This window comes from Homo sapiens, chromosome 8 (assembly GCF_000001405.40).
Source record: "Homo sapiens chromosome 8, GRCh38.p14 Primary Assembly".
Classification (NCBI taxonomy): Eukaryota; Metazoa; Chordata; class Mammalia; order Primates; family Hominidae; genus Homo; species Homo sapiens.
In genome coordinates, this window is record NC_000008.11 from 97,694,113 (window position 1) to 97,711,363 (window position 17,251).

The following is a 17,251-nucleotide window of genomic DNA, read 5'->3' on the forward strand; positions in this document are numbered from 1 at the left end:
GAGGGAGCAATAGATACTAGAAACTTTTTAGTTTTAGTATGTAAGTAGAAAAATATTTCTTCCTTTGTTGTTAGGCTTTTTCTGGAACTTTTTTTTTTTTTTGAGATGGAGTTTTGCCCTTGTTGCCTAGGCTGGAGTGCAATGGCACGATCTCGGCTCACCACAACCACCGCCTCTCGGGTTCAAGCAATTCTCCTGCCTCAGCCTCCTGAGTAGCCTGGATTACAGGCGTGCGCCACCACGCCTGGCTAATTTTGTATTTTTAGTAGAGATGGGGTTTCTCCATGTTGGTCAGGCTGGTCTCGAACTCCCAGTCTCAGGTGATCCACCTGCCTTAGCCTCCCAAAGTACTGGGATTACACGTGTGAGCCACCAACACTGGCCCCTCTCTTTTAAAGCTAACACCCTCAAAAATCAAACACCAGATCATTTAATTATATTGTTTTTAAGCTTGCTCTCCCTTCCTCCCCATTATATTGAAAAATTGTGTAGCGGTATCAAAACTTGTTTGAAAGAGACATTCCCTTGCCTGGGCATGGTGGCTCATGTCTGTAATCCTGGCACTTTGCAGGGCTGAGGCTGGCAGATCGCCTGAGCCCAGGAGTTCCAAGACCAGCCTGGGCAACATGGTGAAACCTTGTCTGTACTAAAATACAAAAAAATCGCTGGGCATGGTGGCACGTGCCTGTAATCCCAGCTACTCGGGAGGCCGAGACGGGACAATTGCTTAAACCTGGGAAGCGGAGATTGCAGTGAGCCAAGGTCGAGCCACTGCACTCCAGCCTTGGCAACAGAGCGAGACTCCCTCTCAAAAAGAAAAAAAAAAAGACCTTCCCTAAATTCCCACTCTCATTTTTAGCAGAGAAGAAAGCATTAATTTCTGTGCTATAAAGCATCCTTTCATATTTGGTAAAAGAAATGGTTGAATTTTATGGAGTAATGTTAGGAACCGTGTGACCTTTTGGGATATTTACAATTTGCAATTTGCTGCTGCCTTTTTTTTTTTTTTTCTTTAAGATGGAGGCTTGTTCTGTCACCCAGGCTGGACTGCAGTGGCACAATCTTGGCTCACTGCAACCTCACCTCCCGGGTCCCAGTTCAAGCAATTCTCCTGCCTCAGCCTCCTGAGTAGCTGGGATTACAGGCACGTGTCACCATGCCCAGCTAATTTTTGTATTTTTAGTAGAAATAGGCTCTCACCATGTTGGCCAGGCTGGTCTTGAACTCCTGACCTCATAATCTGCCCGCCTCGGCCCCCCAAAATGCTGGGTTTAGAGGCATGAGCCACTCCGCCCAGCCTACAATTTACTTGTAAAAGTTATATAGCATTTCATAATTAGGACATAAATTAGATGGTATTTGCTTAATGTTGTTACAGATAATATTAAACAGCAAATTAGAGTTCCTGCCTAGATAGACTAGGACTTTTATGGAAAATGAAAGGGAACTATATTAAATTAGATTTGTAATGGGTCACTGGAAAGAGACAGATGTGACTCGTCTCATGGAGGTTTACGTTCTTTAAAATAAGAAATGTCTTGAAAATATTGAGAAAGTAGCATGGTATAGAGGAGTGAACAGGGACTGGTTCAGACAGATCTATTAGGTATGAATCTCTATTCTTCTACATGATAGCTTTTATGGACATTCAGGCTAGTTATTTAACCTGTATGAACCTCATACTTATGTAATTGTGAGGATTTGTTGTAATGAAAGTCAAGTACCAAGTTCAGTGCTATCCCAAAGTAGTTGCTTAATTATGATAAATAATAATGCAGCTTGGTATAGTGGAAAAGAGCATAGGCTTTGGGAATTGACTTAAGCTGCATTCGTGGCTCAGCTGTTTTCTAGCTATCAGCAAGTCACTTAATTGCTCCAAAACTGCCTAGCAAAGTTTCTGTAAGGATTAGAAGTGGTTGGTGTAAGGGGCCCAGCTACGTAATAAATATTCAGTAAATAGTAGCTATTACTATATTAAGTGGTTCTCATTTCTAAGGTTATCTTTAAATAGTCTCATAGTTTTAAATCTTTACATATCTTTCAAGTCTGATGCAAGTTGAAGGTTCCAAGTGATGTTTTTTATTTTAACAGCTGCTTGGTCTAGTGTGGATAGGGGAATGAATACCTCTGAACAGAATTCTGCTTCTTTTGCATCTCTCACACTTAACTCTGCTGTTTCTGGTATGTGAAAAACAGTCTTTTGTTCAGCTAACAAAAACATTTGTTTAATTTTAGTGCTTGTTATTTGAAAAACTAATCAACATCAAGTACTGCTATCAATATAAATAGCAGGTATTATAAAGTGGCAGAGGCCTTTACAACAGGAAGAGAAGACCTAAATTCTTATGTGCAAATGGCTTAATTCCCCTCTCTAGGGGAGTAAGGATTCTGTAGCTTGAGATCACTGACAGTGTATTGGCACACAGACAAATACACATGCAAGGCCTTCCATTCAGGTTCATATTCTTCTGTTGCTAATGTAGTCCTGCCATACTTTTAGTTACAATTTGACATTTTACTTCTGTTCACCGTTACTCATCATGAGTTTAAAACTAACCCTTTCAGGTTATGGATTCCCACATAATAACTATAAGTATCTGTAGATTTATAAAATACATGATTACTAATAAACTACTGTTAATTCTGCATTACTTAAATGGATATATGTTTTATTAATCATATAGAAACTACATGTATTTAACAAATATTACATAAATATGGGAGGCCAGGTGTGGTGGCTCACATCTCTAATCCCAGCACGTAGCGAGGCTGAGGTGGGAAGATCACTTGAGCCTAGGAGTTCAAGACCAGCCTGGGCAACTACATCACCACATAAAGTTAAAGAAAAATTAGCCAGGCATGGTGGTATTTGCCTGTGGTCCCAGCTACTCAGGAGGCTGTGGTGGGAGGATCGCATTAGTCCAGGAGGTTGAAGCTACAATGAGCAATGAGCCATGATTGCTCCACTGCACTCCAGACTGGGTGACAGAGTGAGACTCTGTCTCACAAAAAAAAAAATATATATATATATATATATATTTTTTTTTTGTGGACCCAGTTTACTAATTTTGTAGTTCCGCAGCGTCTGGAATCACTAACCTAGAAAGGGGGTCAGCAAACTTTTTGTATAAAGGGACAGATAGTAAACATTTTAGGCATTGTGGGCCGTGCAGCCTCTATTGCAGTTACTCAACCCTGCTGTTGTAACAGGAAAGCAACCTGAGACAGTAAGCAAATGACTTTCTGGTTCCAAAATATTATTATTTCGGTTTTTTTTTTTTTTTTTTTTTTTGAGACGGAGTCTCGCTTTGTTGCCAGGCTGGAGTGCAGTGGCGCAATCTCGGCTCACGGCAACCTCCGCCTCCCTGGTTCAAACGATTCTCCTGCCTCGGCGTCCCATGTATCTGGTACTGCAGGCACGTGCCACCACACCCGGCTAATTTTTTGTATTTTTAGTAGAGACAGTGTTTTACCGTGTTAGCCAGGATGGTCTGCATCTCTTTACCTCGTGATCCACCTGCCTTGGCCTCCCAAAGTGCTGGGATTACAGGCATGAGCCACCGCACCTGGCCTGATTTTTTTTTTAACCATTTAAAAATGTAAGAACTATTCTTGGCTCATGGACCATATAAAAACCGGATGGTTGGATTTGGTCTGTGAGTCATAGTTTGCTAAACTCTGGTCTCATAGACTACATTTCATTTCCAGAGGTACAAGTTTATTGCTTCCTCATTTGGTGACTCTGTACAACACACATGCTATTCCCTTCATATATGCAGAGAAAGCCGTGTGGGCTGCCAAAGGAATAGCACCAGTGTTACAGTACTGCTTCTAAGCAGCTAATATATTAATACATGTGAATTTTATAGGGTTACTCTGTTTATAGGGTTACTCTGTTAAAGTTTACATTAAAATATACATATTAAACATACATATAGAGAGAGTATATCAAGCAGATAATATATTAGTGGAATGCTGCTGGTAAGATCATCTGTAACCAAGAAGAAATTTATAAATTAGTAGTAAGGACTCACGTGGGAGGACGTGATTGTATGTAACACTTTTATACTAACCAAGTATCTTTTCTTCCTAACCATTTCTTTATACAGTGGCTCTGAATCCAAAATACATATCAGAGTCATCTAAGGACTCCAGTACACATGTAAATTCCAATTCAGAAGGGGTGTATGTGTGTGTGCGCACGCCTGATGGAAAACCACTGCTTTACATTTGCATCCTAAAGTGAATTTATATCTATAAAGCAAGGGGTTTGACCTGGCATCAGTGAACTCATATGCCCCCAAAACTATATGCAGAATTTTGTGTTAAGCTCTGGATAGTAGACTGCCACAGCTTTCATCAGGTTCCTAAAAGACTATGTGAACCCACTCTCACCCGACCTACTACCCTCACCTGAGAAAAAACAAAAACAGACAAAACTTATGAGATAATATTTTGTTTTCTTTAAATGCACTTGAACTTAGTCTCTAGACCTCCTGCAACTCTTCTTGTCTCTTTGGCTTCTCTCTGCCTCACCTCTCTAGATAACCACCTATTTCTCTAATGTTTCTTAGCCAAAAGATGCTAGCTAACTCAGACATTTTCTAGTTCCCTCTTTCAAGGTTCTGAGGATACATAGCCCTGAAACATCCAGGACTAAAATGATCAATGGCAGAGATTTCTATTGTGTTTTATTTTCCATTAAGAAGAAGGAAAAAACAACTTTTTTTGACTTCTTGAAATTTGTAGGCAGGGCACAGTGGTTTATGCCTGTAATCCCAGCACTTTGGGAGGCAGAGGAGGATCCCTGTAGACCAGGAGTTCAGGACCAGCCTGGGCAACACAGGGAAGACCCTATCTCTACGAAAAATTTTTTAAAAATAAGCCAGGAGACCAGGCAAGGTGGCTTATGCCTGTAATCCCAGCACTTTGGGAGGCTGAGGCAGGAGGATCACTTAAGCCTAGGAGTTCAAGACCAGCCTGGGCAACATGGTGTAAAACCCCATCTCTACAAAAAATACAAAAATTAGCTGGGTATGGTAATGTGTGCCTGTAGTCCCAGCTACTTGGGAGGCTGAGGTAGGTGAATTGCTTGAGCTGAGGAGGCAGAAATTGCAGTGAGCCGAGACTGTGCCACTACACTCCGGCCTGGGCAACAAAGTGAGACTCTGTCTCGAAAAAAGAAAAAAAGCCCAGCATGGTGGTACAAGCCTGTGGTTCCAGCTGAGGTAGGAGGATCTCTTGAGCCTGCGAGGTTGAGGCTGCAGTGAGCCACGATCATGCCACTGCACTTCAGCCTGGGTGACAGAGTGAGATCCTGTCTCAAAAAAAAAAAAAGAGAGAAATTTATAGGTAACTTACCAGTTGGTGTATAATACAAAACACAAAATCTAATGGATTGGTGCTAGGGAAAACATAGATTTCTGATCATTGAATTAGATCAAGTGATTATCATAGTTAATCTAAAATTACCCTCAATTCTACTTTTCCTTTTAACTTAATTCTTTTTCTAATGTCTGAATTTTTCCTTTTAGGAGAAATTTTAAAAATAAAGTCTCCGTGTCAAAGTATAGAACTATTGTTATGAAACATCATTAGGAAATTCCATTTTTAATTTTATTGCATTCGTTTTTCATTTAAGGGTCTACTGCTGAGCCAGTTTCTCAGTCTACCACTTCTGATTATCAGTGGGATGTTAGCCGTAATCAACCCTATATCGATGATGAATGGTCTGGGTTAAGTATGTCCTTTTAAAAATTATCAGTTATTTTTTTTCAGAGTTTTCTTTCTAGCACCCTGAATTCATGCTTTATGTTTTAATTTTAATTCTAATTTCTCACCTTTAAAGGTCATAAGAATATAATTTAATACCAAATGTACTACTTGAAACCTGATTATTGAATACCTGTAGAATTAAAACTGAATTTTCGTAATTGAGGCAATATTTAAACAAAGTTTTCTTCTAGTTGCTCTGTAGTATTTCTAGTTTTTAAATTTTTTGTTTTAAATGAATGTCTGTTTCTCCTCCTAGGTAGTATAATAGACTGAATTAAATATACAGAAATGGCTTTGTATTTGTGAAGTATACACACATTTTTGTGCCGGTAGAAAACTACTTTCTTAACCCAGTTGCCAGTAGAAGTTTAGTTAAAGGAAGACATTTTAGAAGGGAAGAATATGGTTTGTATGTTCGGAAAGCTCATGCCGTCTTCATTTAAAAAAAAAAAATTATGAGTTTTTTTTCCTCACAAACCTAAATCTCAAAATGTACTTTGTCTGAATTTTTATTTCACATCCTTTTTTACTATTTACTGTTTTCTACTGTTAGCACTTATATGTTCCCTGTGGGGTTTTCCACCATTTTTAAGCATATGTTTTCCTTCTCCAAGTAGAGTTAAGAACTCTCTGAAAATGGGGACTAGCACTCTTTCATACACTCAGGACCTAGTGCAAGCCTTTATACATAGGTGTTCGGTGGTAATAATAATGACAATAAAAACACTGGACTATGTGCCAGGCACTGGTCTTAGTCTTTTGGATTTTATTATCTCATTTAATGCTTAAAACATTTCTATGTGGTAGGTTTTATTTGTTTCCACACTTTCCAGATGAAAAAGTTGTGACAAGGGAAAGTTATCTAGCTTTTCCCAGGCCACACAGTTAGTTAAATGGAGGAGGGTGGTATTCATACCTTGCTAGTCTGGCTCTAGAGTTCATGCTCTTAACCACTATCTGGTACAGCCTTGGTGATGATAGTAATCATCAAGGTAAGCTGGCGACACAGTGGTTAAAGCACAGTTCTTACAGATTAAGGGAGATGAGGAGAGAAAGATCAGGGAGGACCATATTGTGAAATGCATGCCTTGAATTGCTGGCTAAAGGTTAGGGGGCTGGGGGTTTTCAGTACTAGCTTAGACAGTAGATACGAATTTTAGTCCCGACTCTAAAATGTAGTAGTACCTCATATGGTTAGGGCTTTGTCACTTGTCTGGGAGCTGTAAAATCGAGCAAATAATGTGTCATATCTGTTTTCATAGGTTGTTGTGAGGCTTTAATGAGATAATGGGTGAACATGAAAGCTCTGTAAATTACAGTCATCTCTCAGTATCCATGGGGGGTTGATTCCAGGACCCCCCTCAGGTACCAAAATCCCCAGGTGCTGAAGTCTCCTGTGATAAAATGGCATAGTATTTGCATATAACCTACATATGTCTTCCCATATATTTTAAATTATCTCTTGATTACTTGTAGTAACTAATACAGTGTAAATAGTTGTTATACTGTATTGTTTAGGGAATAATGACAAGAAAAAAAAGTGTGTACATATTCAGTACAGACACAGTTCATTCATTTTTTTTCCTGAATATTTTTGAACCCACAAATGGAAAACCCATGGATACGCAGGGCTGACTGTGTATGAAGTATTTAAATCCAAGGTTTTACAAGGATGTGAAAGCACTATTTTTGGGGAAAAAAATAAACAGTATATTTGTGCTTTAGGAAGAATTATCAGCTATATGCAGAATAGAATTGAGGATGATTATAACAATGATAGGAGTGACTATAGGAAAATAGCAGTAAGGTATCTTGGGCTGCTGTGGGTTGAGGCAGAGGAAAATTGAGTGGACAGGTCTCCAGGCTTTCCTGCTTGGACAGAGTAGATGCACTTTTTATTTTATCCATATTAAGATACTTTGAATATGAAAAACATGATTAGCTGCTAAAATAAAAGATTTTTAAAACATGTATCCACAGGATTCTATACTTAATCAAAGTAATATGTATCAGAAACACCATCTTCCTCAAGTTTGTTATGCTGTATTGGCAGTCTTTTTAAGTCCAGAGTTTCTCTTTAACATTTTCTCTGTAAACTTTATTTTCTGTGTCACCATCTTTAATGCAGCTCTATTTTTGGTGCTCAGTGAATTTAGTTATTACTTCTGAATTTCTAAAATGAATGATTTAGTATTTTAGATTACAAATCCACAAAGTATATTACATTAGATTTACATTTACAGTATGATATAATTAACATATTGGCCCTCCAGTTTGAAGACATACATTAATCTATTACTATCTTGACCATAAAGGAACAGCATTATTGTAACCCATGTAAAAAGTCAGATGTTGAATAGAACTTTTTCTTGGCACACAGGGGTGAATGAATTCGCTTCAGCATAATGGAGTGGTTGAGAGCATGAGCTTTCAGGACAGACTACCTGGGTTTCAATCTTAACTTCCCTGCCTTTGCCCATATGCAGGTTACATGATTATTCTATGCCTCAATTTCCTTCTCTGTAAAAATAACAATTCCTCCCAAACAGTACGGCTGAGAAGATTAAATGAGTTAATACATATAAAGCTCTTAGAACACTGCCTCACATATAGTAAATATGCAGTAAGTACTGCTGTTGGTATCCTTCTAGTGGCAAAATTAGTCTAACCAATGTGGTTAACTAACCCAATGTTGTTAACACTGGAGAATGTCTAACATAATTGTTTTCTTTTATTAAAAAGTTATTAAAGTTTACATTGAATTAAGTTCTGACAAGAAACAGCTGACAACCAAATAAAGACCAGCAATGAGATGCTTAAACCTAAAACATTATTCCATAAGTGAATTAAATGGAGAGACAAATTCTTTACCCTTTTGAAAAGAAAACCAGTATGGCTCTTTGAAAAGAATTAAGTTCTGACAAGAAACAGCTGACAACCAAATAAAGACTAGCGAAGAGATACTTAAACCTAAAATGTTATTCCATAAGCAAATTAAATGAAGAGACAAATTCCTTACCCTTTTGAAAAGAAAACCAGTATGGCTCTTTGAAAAGACATTGGCAGACTAATGGAAAACTTTAGCGATAAGAAATTATAATTGAAGCAAACTATACTGTGAATCATTTTTAAGGGAACTATGTCTAAGAAGTTTTTTGGTACATTAGGCCTATGAATCTTAAGAATTAGTTACCCAGGCCGGTGCCATGGCTCACACTTGTAATCCCAGCACTTTGGGAAGCCAAGGTGCAAGGATTTCTTGAGCCCACGCGTTCAAGACCAGCCTAGGCAGCATAGTGAGACCCCATCTCTACAAAAAAAAATTAGCTGGGCGTGGTTCGCATGCCTGTAGTCCCAGCTACTCAGGAGTCTGAAGTGGAAGATCACTTGAGCCTGAGAAGTCTAGGCTACAGTGTGCCATGATCTTGCCACTGCACTCCAGCCTGGGCAATAGAGCGAGACCCTGTCATAAAAAATACTTTTACTAAGCATTTTACTCGATTTTTATTTTTCACCTCCACCTCCTACCACATGTATTAAGAAAATGGGTGACATGTTGGTATATTGCCCACTCAATTGCCTAAACTTTCTTCTGCTTAATAGTTTCTTTTCTGGCAAGAAGTCTTAGAGACATGGCTTATGGACGGCAATTTTCAAAATCTGGGTTTCTTATCTGTGAGATTTAAGCAAAGCCACTGATAGCTTGGTATGTGAACCTCCTAAAGTATTATTAATGAATGGTTGGTATAAGATGAGTAGTTGGTTCCAGACATCTACTAGACTGAATTGAAGTATATCTTACATATGAAGTATATCTTAATGAGAGGTTCATCAGAATTGTGAGAAATAAATTTTTAACTATACATGCCTTATAGATTAGAAACTGGTTTTAATATCATCAGTGATAATAAAAACAGTAGCTACCATTTATTGAGCGCTTACTGCATTGCCATGAATTGCTTTACATGTATCTCATATAATCCTCTCAGCAATCCTATGAAGTTGATAATAGAGCCCATTAAGAAACTTGACCAAAATCATCTTGTTATTAAGTGGTAGAACAATATTCAAATGTATATTTGTTTGACATGAAGACCCATGCTCTTCGCCTCTGTGCTACTATGTAATACTGACTCCAGATACTTGCTCATGGTGGTGAATTTAGAAATACAGGAAGGAACTTCCTTTTTTATAACACATTTCACACTTGTAATCACCTGTTCCATGTTTTTCCTCCACTAGGCTATAAATTCTTATGTTGTCTCTCCCTGTCCTCCACTAGCTTAGCTCTTCTTTGTTTCCACAGCCCCCATGGCAGAATCTGTCACTCTGTATTTAATAGTTTGTTAAGCTTACCTATCTTCACCCCTGAATAGACAGACTACAAGCTGCACGTGCAGAAGGATTCTATTTTACTTGTTTTTCTATCTCTAGTACCTACCTAGCTCAAGTTCTAGCACATAGTAAGTGCTTAATAAGGATTGGATAGATGTAATTTCACTATTAAAATATATTTATTATTCCAACCTGGGCAATATAGTGAATCCCCTTCTCTACAAAAAGTTTAAAAATTAGCCAGGCATGGTGGCACATGGCTGTGGTCCCAGCTGCTCAGGAGGCTGAGGCAGGAGGATCACTTGAGCCCCAGGAGGTTAAGGCTGCAGTGAACTATGATTATACCACTGCAGTCCAGCCTGGGTGACAGAATAAGACCCTGTCTCTTAAACTAAGAAAATATATATATATTATATACATATAATGTTTTATTTTTTTCTGTCTCTTCCTCATAAATTTGAGATCATACTGTGTAGACAATTTTGTCTATGATTTTTTTTCTGTGAGCGTTTTCCCAGATTATTATATATTCTTCCAAAACCTAGATTTTAAAACTTTCATAAGAATGTATTATATATTCCTGTTAAACAAAAACAATAATAGAGTTCACCTGGAAAAATAAGACTAGCAGAAAGTAAATAGGAGTACTAAATAAGAGTAATGCAAACAAATTTGTCCTTCTAGATATAAAAATGTATTGCAGAGTTATGTATAGCACTGTCCCAGGAATAGATCAGTGGAATAGAATAGAAATTGCAGAAACAGACTGAAGTGCATATAAAAGAATTGAGTAAGGCCGGGCACAGTGGCTCACGCCTGTAATCCCAACACTTTGGGAGGCTGAGGCAGGTGGATCAAGAGGTCAGGAGTTCGAGACCAGCCTGACCAACATGGTGAAACCCTGTTTCTACTAAAAATACAAAAATTAGCCGGGTGTGGTGGTGCACGCCTGTAATCCCAGCTACTTGGGAGGCTGAGGCAGGAGAATCGCTTGAACCCGGGAGGCGGAGGTTGCAGTGAGCCGAGATCGTGCCACTGCACTCTAGCCTGGGTGACAGAGTGAGACTCCATCTCAAAAAAAAAAGAGAATTGAGCATTGCTGGGCGTGGTGCCTCACGCCTATAATCCCAGCACTTTGGGAGGCTGAGTCAGGCAGATCACGAGATCAAGAGTTCGAGACCAGCCTGGCCAACATGGTGAAACCCTGTCTCTACTAAGAATACAAAAATTAGCCAGGTGTGGTGGCGCATGCCTGTAATCCCAGCTACTCGGGAGGCTGAGGCAGGAGAATCACTTGAACCTGGGAGGCAGAGGTTCCAGTTAGCTGAGATCATGCCACTGCACTCCAGCTTGGGCGACAGAGCAAGACTCCGTCTTGGGGAAAAAAATAAAGAAAGAATTGAGTGTTTGATAAGAGTAGCATTAGGTATTAGTGGGAAATGATTGGATTTTTCATTTAAGCATTGTTGGGACAACTTGTTAACCATTTGGAAATAAAGCCTAACCTTTGTCATCTTAAACCATTGTAAATGAAACCTGACTATAAGTAGATTTACAGGAACATATATAGGAGTATATGATGTGCAGGGAGAGAAGGGAAGAATTAACTTTGAGAGCTACTTATTTAATCTGGTTAAAGGCAAAGACTGGTTTCTCCTTTTAGAATAAGTCATTGATAGCTTCCTCAAGGAGTTAAAAATTCAGTGCATCCTATAGTGAAATAAAGGGATCTGGAAGTGTAGAATAAAATTTATTTTTGATAATAAATGATGATTGAAGCCCTGAAAGTTATTCAAATGTTTTTGAAATGATTGGATAAAAAGCACATTGAATGATCTGAAAAATATAAGAAAGTACAGGTTAAGTATTTAAAAAGGGGGAGAAAAATAAGAGGTTGAATATTGTCATGACTTGGTGAATTTGAAGAAACTAATTTTGAAAAGCTCATAAGGATAGGAGAGGTGTAGTATAAAATGACAGGTAGGGATTGTAACTTTGGTACTACTGTTAAGAATTAATTCCAAACCCTAGACAATAAATCAATTACAAAAATGTTATAATAATCAGGGGAGAAAACAACCAGGTCCTAGACCAAGTTAAAAATGGATAGAGAAAAGAAATTCAGGAGATTGATAACAAAGGAAGCACAGAGAGTGGAATCAAATGGCTAATAAATTTTCTGGAATTTCTTAGAAATTCCATTTAACCATATGATATGCTTAGCAGAAATTGAATAAAGATTGTTACCTTCATGTTATTTTTTTTTCTGGCTCTTAAAATGTGCTTGGGAGACAGAACAATAACTTAAAATTACAGCTTAGTTGAACATAAGGAATTTTTAGTTTTTGCCTTTTAATTTATGGCAAAAATGATAGACGCCTAATTCACACTGTTAAATTTTAGATGGTCTGTCTTCTGCTGATCCCAACTCTGATTGGAATGCACCAGCAGAAGAGTGGGGCAATTGGGTAGACGAAGAAAGAGCTTCACTTCTAAAGTCCCAGGAACCAATTCCTGATGATCAAAAGGTGAGTATAAGAGATTCCTGGGTGTTTATTTGTTAATGAAAGAGACAGGCTGGGCACAGTGGCTCACGCCTATGATTCCAGCACTTTGGGAGGTACTGTGGGAGGATTGCTTGAGCCCAGGAGTTCAAGGCCAGCCTGGGCAACATAGCGAGACCCCATCTCTATTTATAAAAATAAAATAAAGCAACTGAAGGAGAATTCTGGGTCACAGAGGCTGACACCAATTGAGAGCCTCAGGGAGACAATAATAGCATCAGAAACAGCAAACCCAAGTTTTGATAGGACTGGAGGAGAGATAGTGGATAATAGCAACACGTGGTATCAGGAATGGTTTTGCTAGGGTTGGGGTGTTGTATTTTAATGATAGGGAGATTTTGGTATAGGGTCAGCAGTCTTTTTTTCTTTTTTTTTTTTTTTCGGAGACAGATTCTTGTTGTGCTGCCCAGGCTGGAGTGCAGTGGCATGATCTCAGCTCACTGCAACCTCTACCTCCTGTGTTCAAGCAGTTTTCCTACCTCAGACTCCTGAGTAGCTGGGATTACTAGCCCGACACTATGCCCGGCTAATTTTTGTGTATTTAGTAGAGATGGGATTTCACCATGTTGGCAAAGCTGGTCTCCAACTCCAGACCTCAGGTGATCCGCTCACCTCAGCCCCCCAAAGTGCTGGGATTACAGGCGTAAGCCACCATGCCTGGCCTTTTTTTTTTTTTTTTTTTTTTTTGAGATGGTGTCCTCAAACTCCTGGCCTCAAGTGACCCTCCTGCCTCAGCCTCTCAAAGTGCTGGGATTACATGTGTAAGCCACTGTGTCTGGCCTGCACAGTCTTTATTAAAAAGCCATACATTCTGATACAGCTAGTCAATTATATAGCAAGTAGCCATAGATGATATGGAAATGAATTTTATTTGTAGGAACTAATGCTGGGCTGTATTTGTAATTTGCCAACCCCTGTTTTAGCATGTCTGTCAATACAAAGGGAAAGGATCCGGAATAAACTAAAAAGTTAAACATAGGCTGGGCACAGTGGCATACACCTGGTAGTCCCAGCTATTCAGGGGGCTGAGGCAGGAGGATTGTTTGAACATAGCAAGACCCCATCTCTTAAAAAAGAAAAAAAAAAAGAAAAAGTTAAATGAGAGGGAAGATTTGACTGATAAAGTAAGGTGCCAGAAGAGGATCAAGAAGCCTTTAACAAGTGGATGGATTGGTCTTTTTTTTTTTTCTTTTTCTTTTTGAGATGGAGTTTTGCTCTGTCACTCAGGCTGGAGTTCAGTGATGCAATCTCAGCTCACTGCAATCTCTGCCTCCTGAGTTCAAGCAATTCTCGTGCCTCAGCCTCCCAGTAGCTGGGATTACAGGCACCTGCCACCATGCCCGGCTAATTTTTGTACTTTTACCATGTTGGTTTCACCATGTTGGTCAGGCTGGTTTCGAACTCCTGACCTCAAGTGATCCACCTGCCTCAGCCTCCCAAAGTGCTGGGATTACAGGCATGAGCCACCATGCCAGGCCTTTTTTTTTTTTTTTTTTTTTTTTTTTTTTTTTTTGAGATGGAGTTTCGCCCTGTCTCCCAGACTGGAGTGCAGTGGCACGATCTCAGCTCTCTGCAACCTCCCCCTCCCAGGTTCAAGTGATTCTCCCTCCTCAGCCTCCTGAGTAGCTGGGATTACAGGCACGCATCACCATGCCCAGCTAATTTTTGTATTTTTAGTAGAGACGGGTTTTTGCCATGTTAGCCAGGCTGGTCTCAAACTCCTGAGCTCAAGTGATCCACCCACCTCGGCCTCCCAAAGTGCTGGGATTACAGGCATGAGCCACCATGCCAGGCCTTTTTTTTTTTTTTTTTTTTTTTTTTTTTTTTTTTTTTGAGATGGAGTTTCCCCGTCTCCCAGGCTGGAGTGCAGTGGCATGATCTCGGCTCTCTGCAACCTCCACCTCCCAGGTTCAAGTGATTCTCCCTCCTCAGCCTCCTGAGTAGCTGGGATTACAGGCATGCATCACCATGCCCAGCTAATTTTTGTGTTTTTAGTACAGACGAGTTTTTGCCATGTTAGCCAGGCTGGTCTCAAACTCCTGACCTCAAGTGATCTGCCCACCTTGGCCCCCCAGAGTGCTGGGATTACAGGCGTGAGCCACTGCCCCCAGCCAGGATTGGTCTTTAAAACAGGATATAGGCCGGGCACAGTGGCTCCCACTTTGCGAGGCCAAGGTGGGTAGATCACAAGGTCAGGAGTTCAAGACCAGCCGGGCCAAGATGGTGAAACCCCGTCTCTGCTGAAAATACAAACATTAGCTGGGCATGGTGGCGGGCACCTGTAATCCCATCTACTCATGAGGCTGACTGAGGCAAAGAATTGCTTGAACCCGGGAGGCAGAGGTTACAGTGAGCCAAGGTTGTGCCACTGCACTCCAGCCTGGACAACATAGCGAGACTCCATCTCAAAAAAAAAAAAAAAACCACCAGATATAATACTAATGGTAGAAGGAGGGGTAAATAAATGTAGAGGAGGACAGTTAACAGGCAATGTGAAAGTCAACAGTGGGGAAAGGGGTTTTAGATTGGACCTACAAAAAGGCTTCTTAGAAGTACAATATCGTAATATATAATACCTTAATACATAGTGATCATTCACATGTTTGTTGGACATTTAACACAATAGAACCCATGAATGGAATAAAGACTTTATCCTACATCATAGGAATTCTTTTTCTGAATATATTCAGAGATTACCTTTTACATTTCTAAGCAAAAGTGAGCTGTCATCAAAATGTTCATCAGTTGGGGAATGGAAAGATGTGATATGTTTATACAATGGCATATTAGAAGTTAAAAATGAACTAAAGCTACATTGTTAGCATTATGAATGGAAACTCAACATGCTGAATGATGAGCAAGTTATAAAAAGATAGAATATGTCATTTATGTAACTTTTTATATGTGGATACAAATAAATTTATAGAAAAATTGATTGGATAGACACAGAAGTTGTTCACAATTTTGGTTACCATTAGGAAGGTACTGTGAAAATGGGATTGGGAAGCGGTATAAAGGAATTTGAAATTTATCAGTAATGTCCTTTTTATTTAAAGATTTAAAATACATTTATCAAAATCTCAACTCTTTCATGGGAGTTAAAAGTTGTAGAGTTGATTTCAGCATCTTCCCATTAACAAAAATAGTATTTTGCCGTGGGAAACTACATTTCTTGTATGATTGGATTATAATGAAGTGATAAGCTGACTGAAGAAAGTCCTTGTGACCTGAGTATCATTCATGGCACGTATCTATTCATATGGCATTTTAATCATTACAAGACCTTGAAACAGCTTGTGGTGAAAACTTCTAGGGATGTTTCTCCACAACTTGTAGCCAACCAGCCTAGACTGAAAATCTCTTAGCTAAGTTTGTGCCAGATTTTGTTTTGTTTTTCCATCTGCTTGTAATTTCTGTAAACTGTCTGGTAGTTCGTGAGACCACCAAAATCATTATAATGACTATAGTGCTGAGCAGAGAAATAGCGGTTACTAGAATCATCTCTTCCTGTAAAGATAGTCTAGGAATCTAGGTTGTCATTTGTGAGAATAAACAAAAAGCATTTTTCCATAGAAAGTTAAACTACAGTGCTTACTTCAGCAGCACATACACTAAAATTGAGGCCAGGCGTGATGGCTCACATTTGTAATCCCAGTACTTTGGGAGGCCGAGGTGGGCGGATCACCCGAGGTCGGGAGTTTGAGACCAGCCTGGCCAACATGGTGAACCCCGTCTCTACTAAAAATACAAAAAAAAAAAAATTTAGCTGGATGTGGCAGTGTGCGCCTGTAATCCCAGCTACTTGGGAGGCTGAGGCACAAGACTCGCTTGAACTGGGAGGCAGAGGTTGCAGTGAGGCACTTCACTCCAGCCTGGGCAACAGAGTGAGACTATCTCAAAAAAAAAAAAAAAAAAAAAAAAAAATAGATAAGGCCGGGCGCGGTGGTTCACGCCTGTAATCCCAGCACTTTGGGAGGCCGAGGCAAGTGGATCACCTGAGGTCAGGAGTTTGAGACCAGCCTGACCAACAAGGTGAAACCCCATCTCTACTGAAAATAGAAAAATTAGCCGGGCATGGTGGTGCACACCTATAATCCTAGCTACTTGGGAGACTGAGGCAGGGGAATTGCTTGAACCTGGGAGGTGGAGGTTGCAGTGAGCCAAGATGGCACCATTGCACTCCAGCCTTGGCAACAGAGCAAGACTCCATCTCAAAAAAATAAATAGATAGATAGATAAGATACAGAGAAGATTGGCATGGCCTCTGCATCATTATGAATACTAACATAACAGTGCTAACTTGATAGGTATATTTTTGTCCTGCAGAATGCTATTTTCAATGACATGACCTCTCAAATTCAGTTTTTTAAATTAAACCTTTTATTTTGAGATAATTGTAGATTCAAATGCAGTTATAAGAAATAATATAGGCCAGGCACGGTGGCTCACGCCTGTAATCCCAGCACTTTGGGAGACTAAGGTAGGAGGATCACTTGAGCCCATGGTGTTTGAGACTAGTCTGTACAACATAGCAAGACCCTATCTCTAATTAAAAAAAAAAAAAAAAGAAAAATCAG

At 39.5% G+C, this 17,251-nt stretch overlaps 1 protein-coding gene across 10 annotated transcripts in view; it reads left to right on the forward strand.

Moving 5' to 3' along the window:
* Positions 1-17,251, forward strand: part of MTDH (metadherin) — an 86,077-nt gene that overhangs the window by 49,929 nt on the left and 18,897 nt on the right. For 4 of the 10 annotated variants that reach the window (NM_178812.4, XM_011517370.4, NM_001363136.1 and 1 more), the window contains 2 exons: positions 5,642-5,740; positions 12,514-12,638. In NM_178812.4, the coding sequence (NP_848927.2) occupies positions 5,642-5,740; positions 12,514-12,638 (224 nt within the window). Of the gene's footprint in view, positions 1-2,091; positions 2,182-5,641; positions 5,741-12,513; positions 12,639-17,251 lie in introns of all 10 variants that reach the window. The other 6 variants (NM_001363137.1, XM_011517369.4, XM_011517368.3 and 3 more) reach the window with 2 other exon arrangements.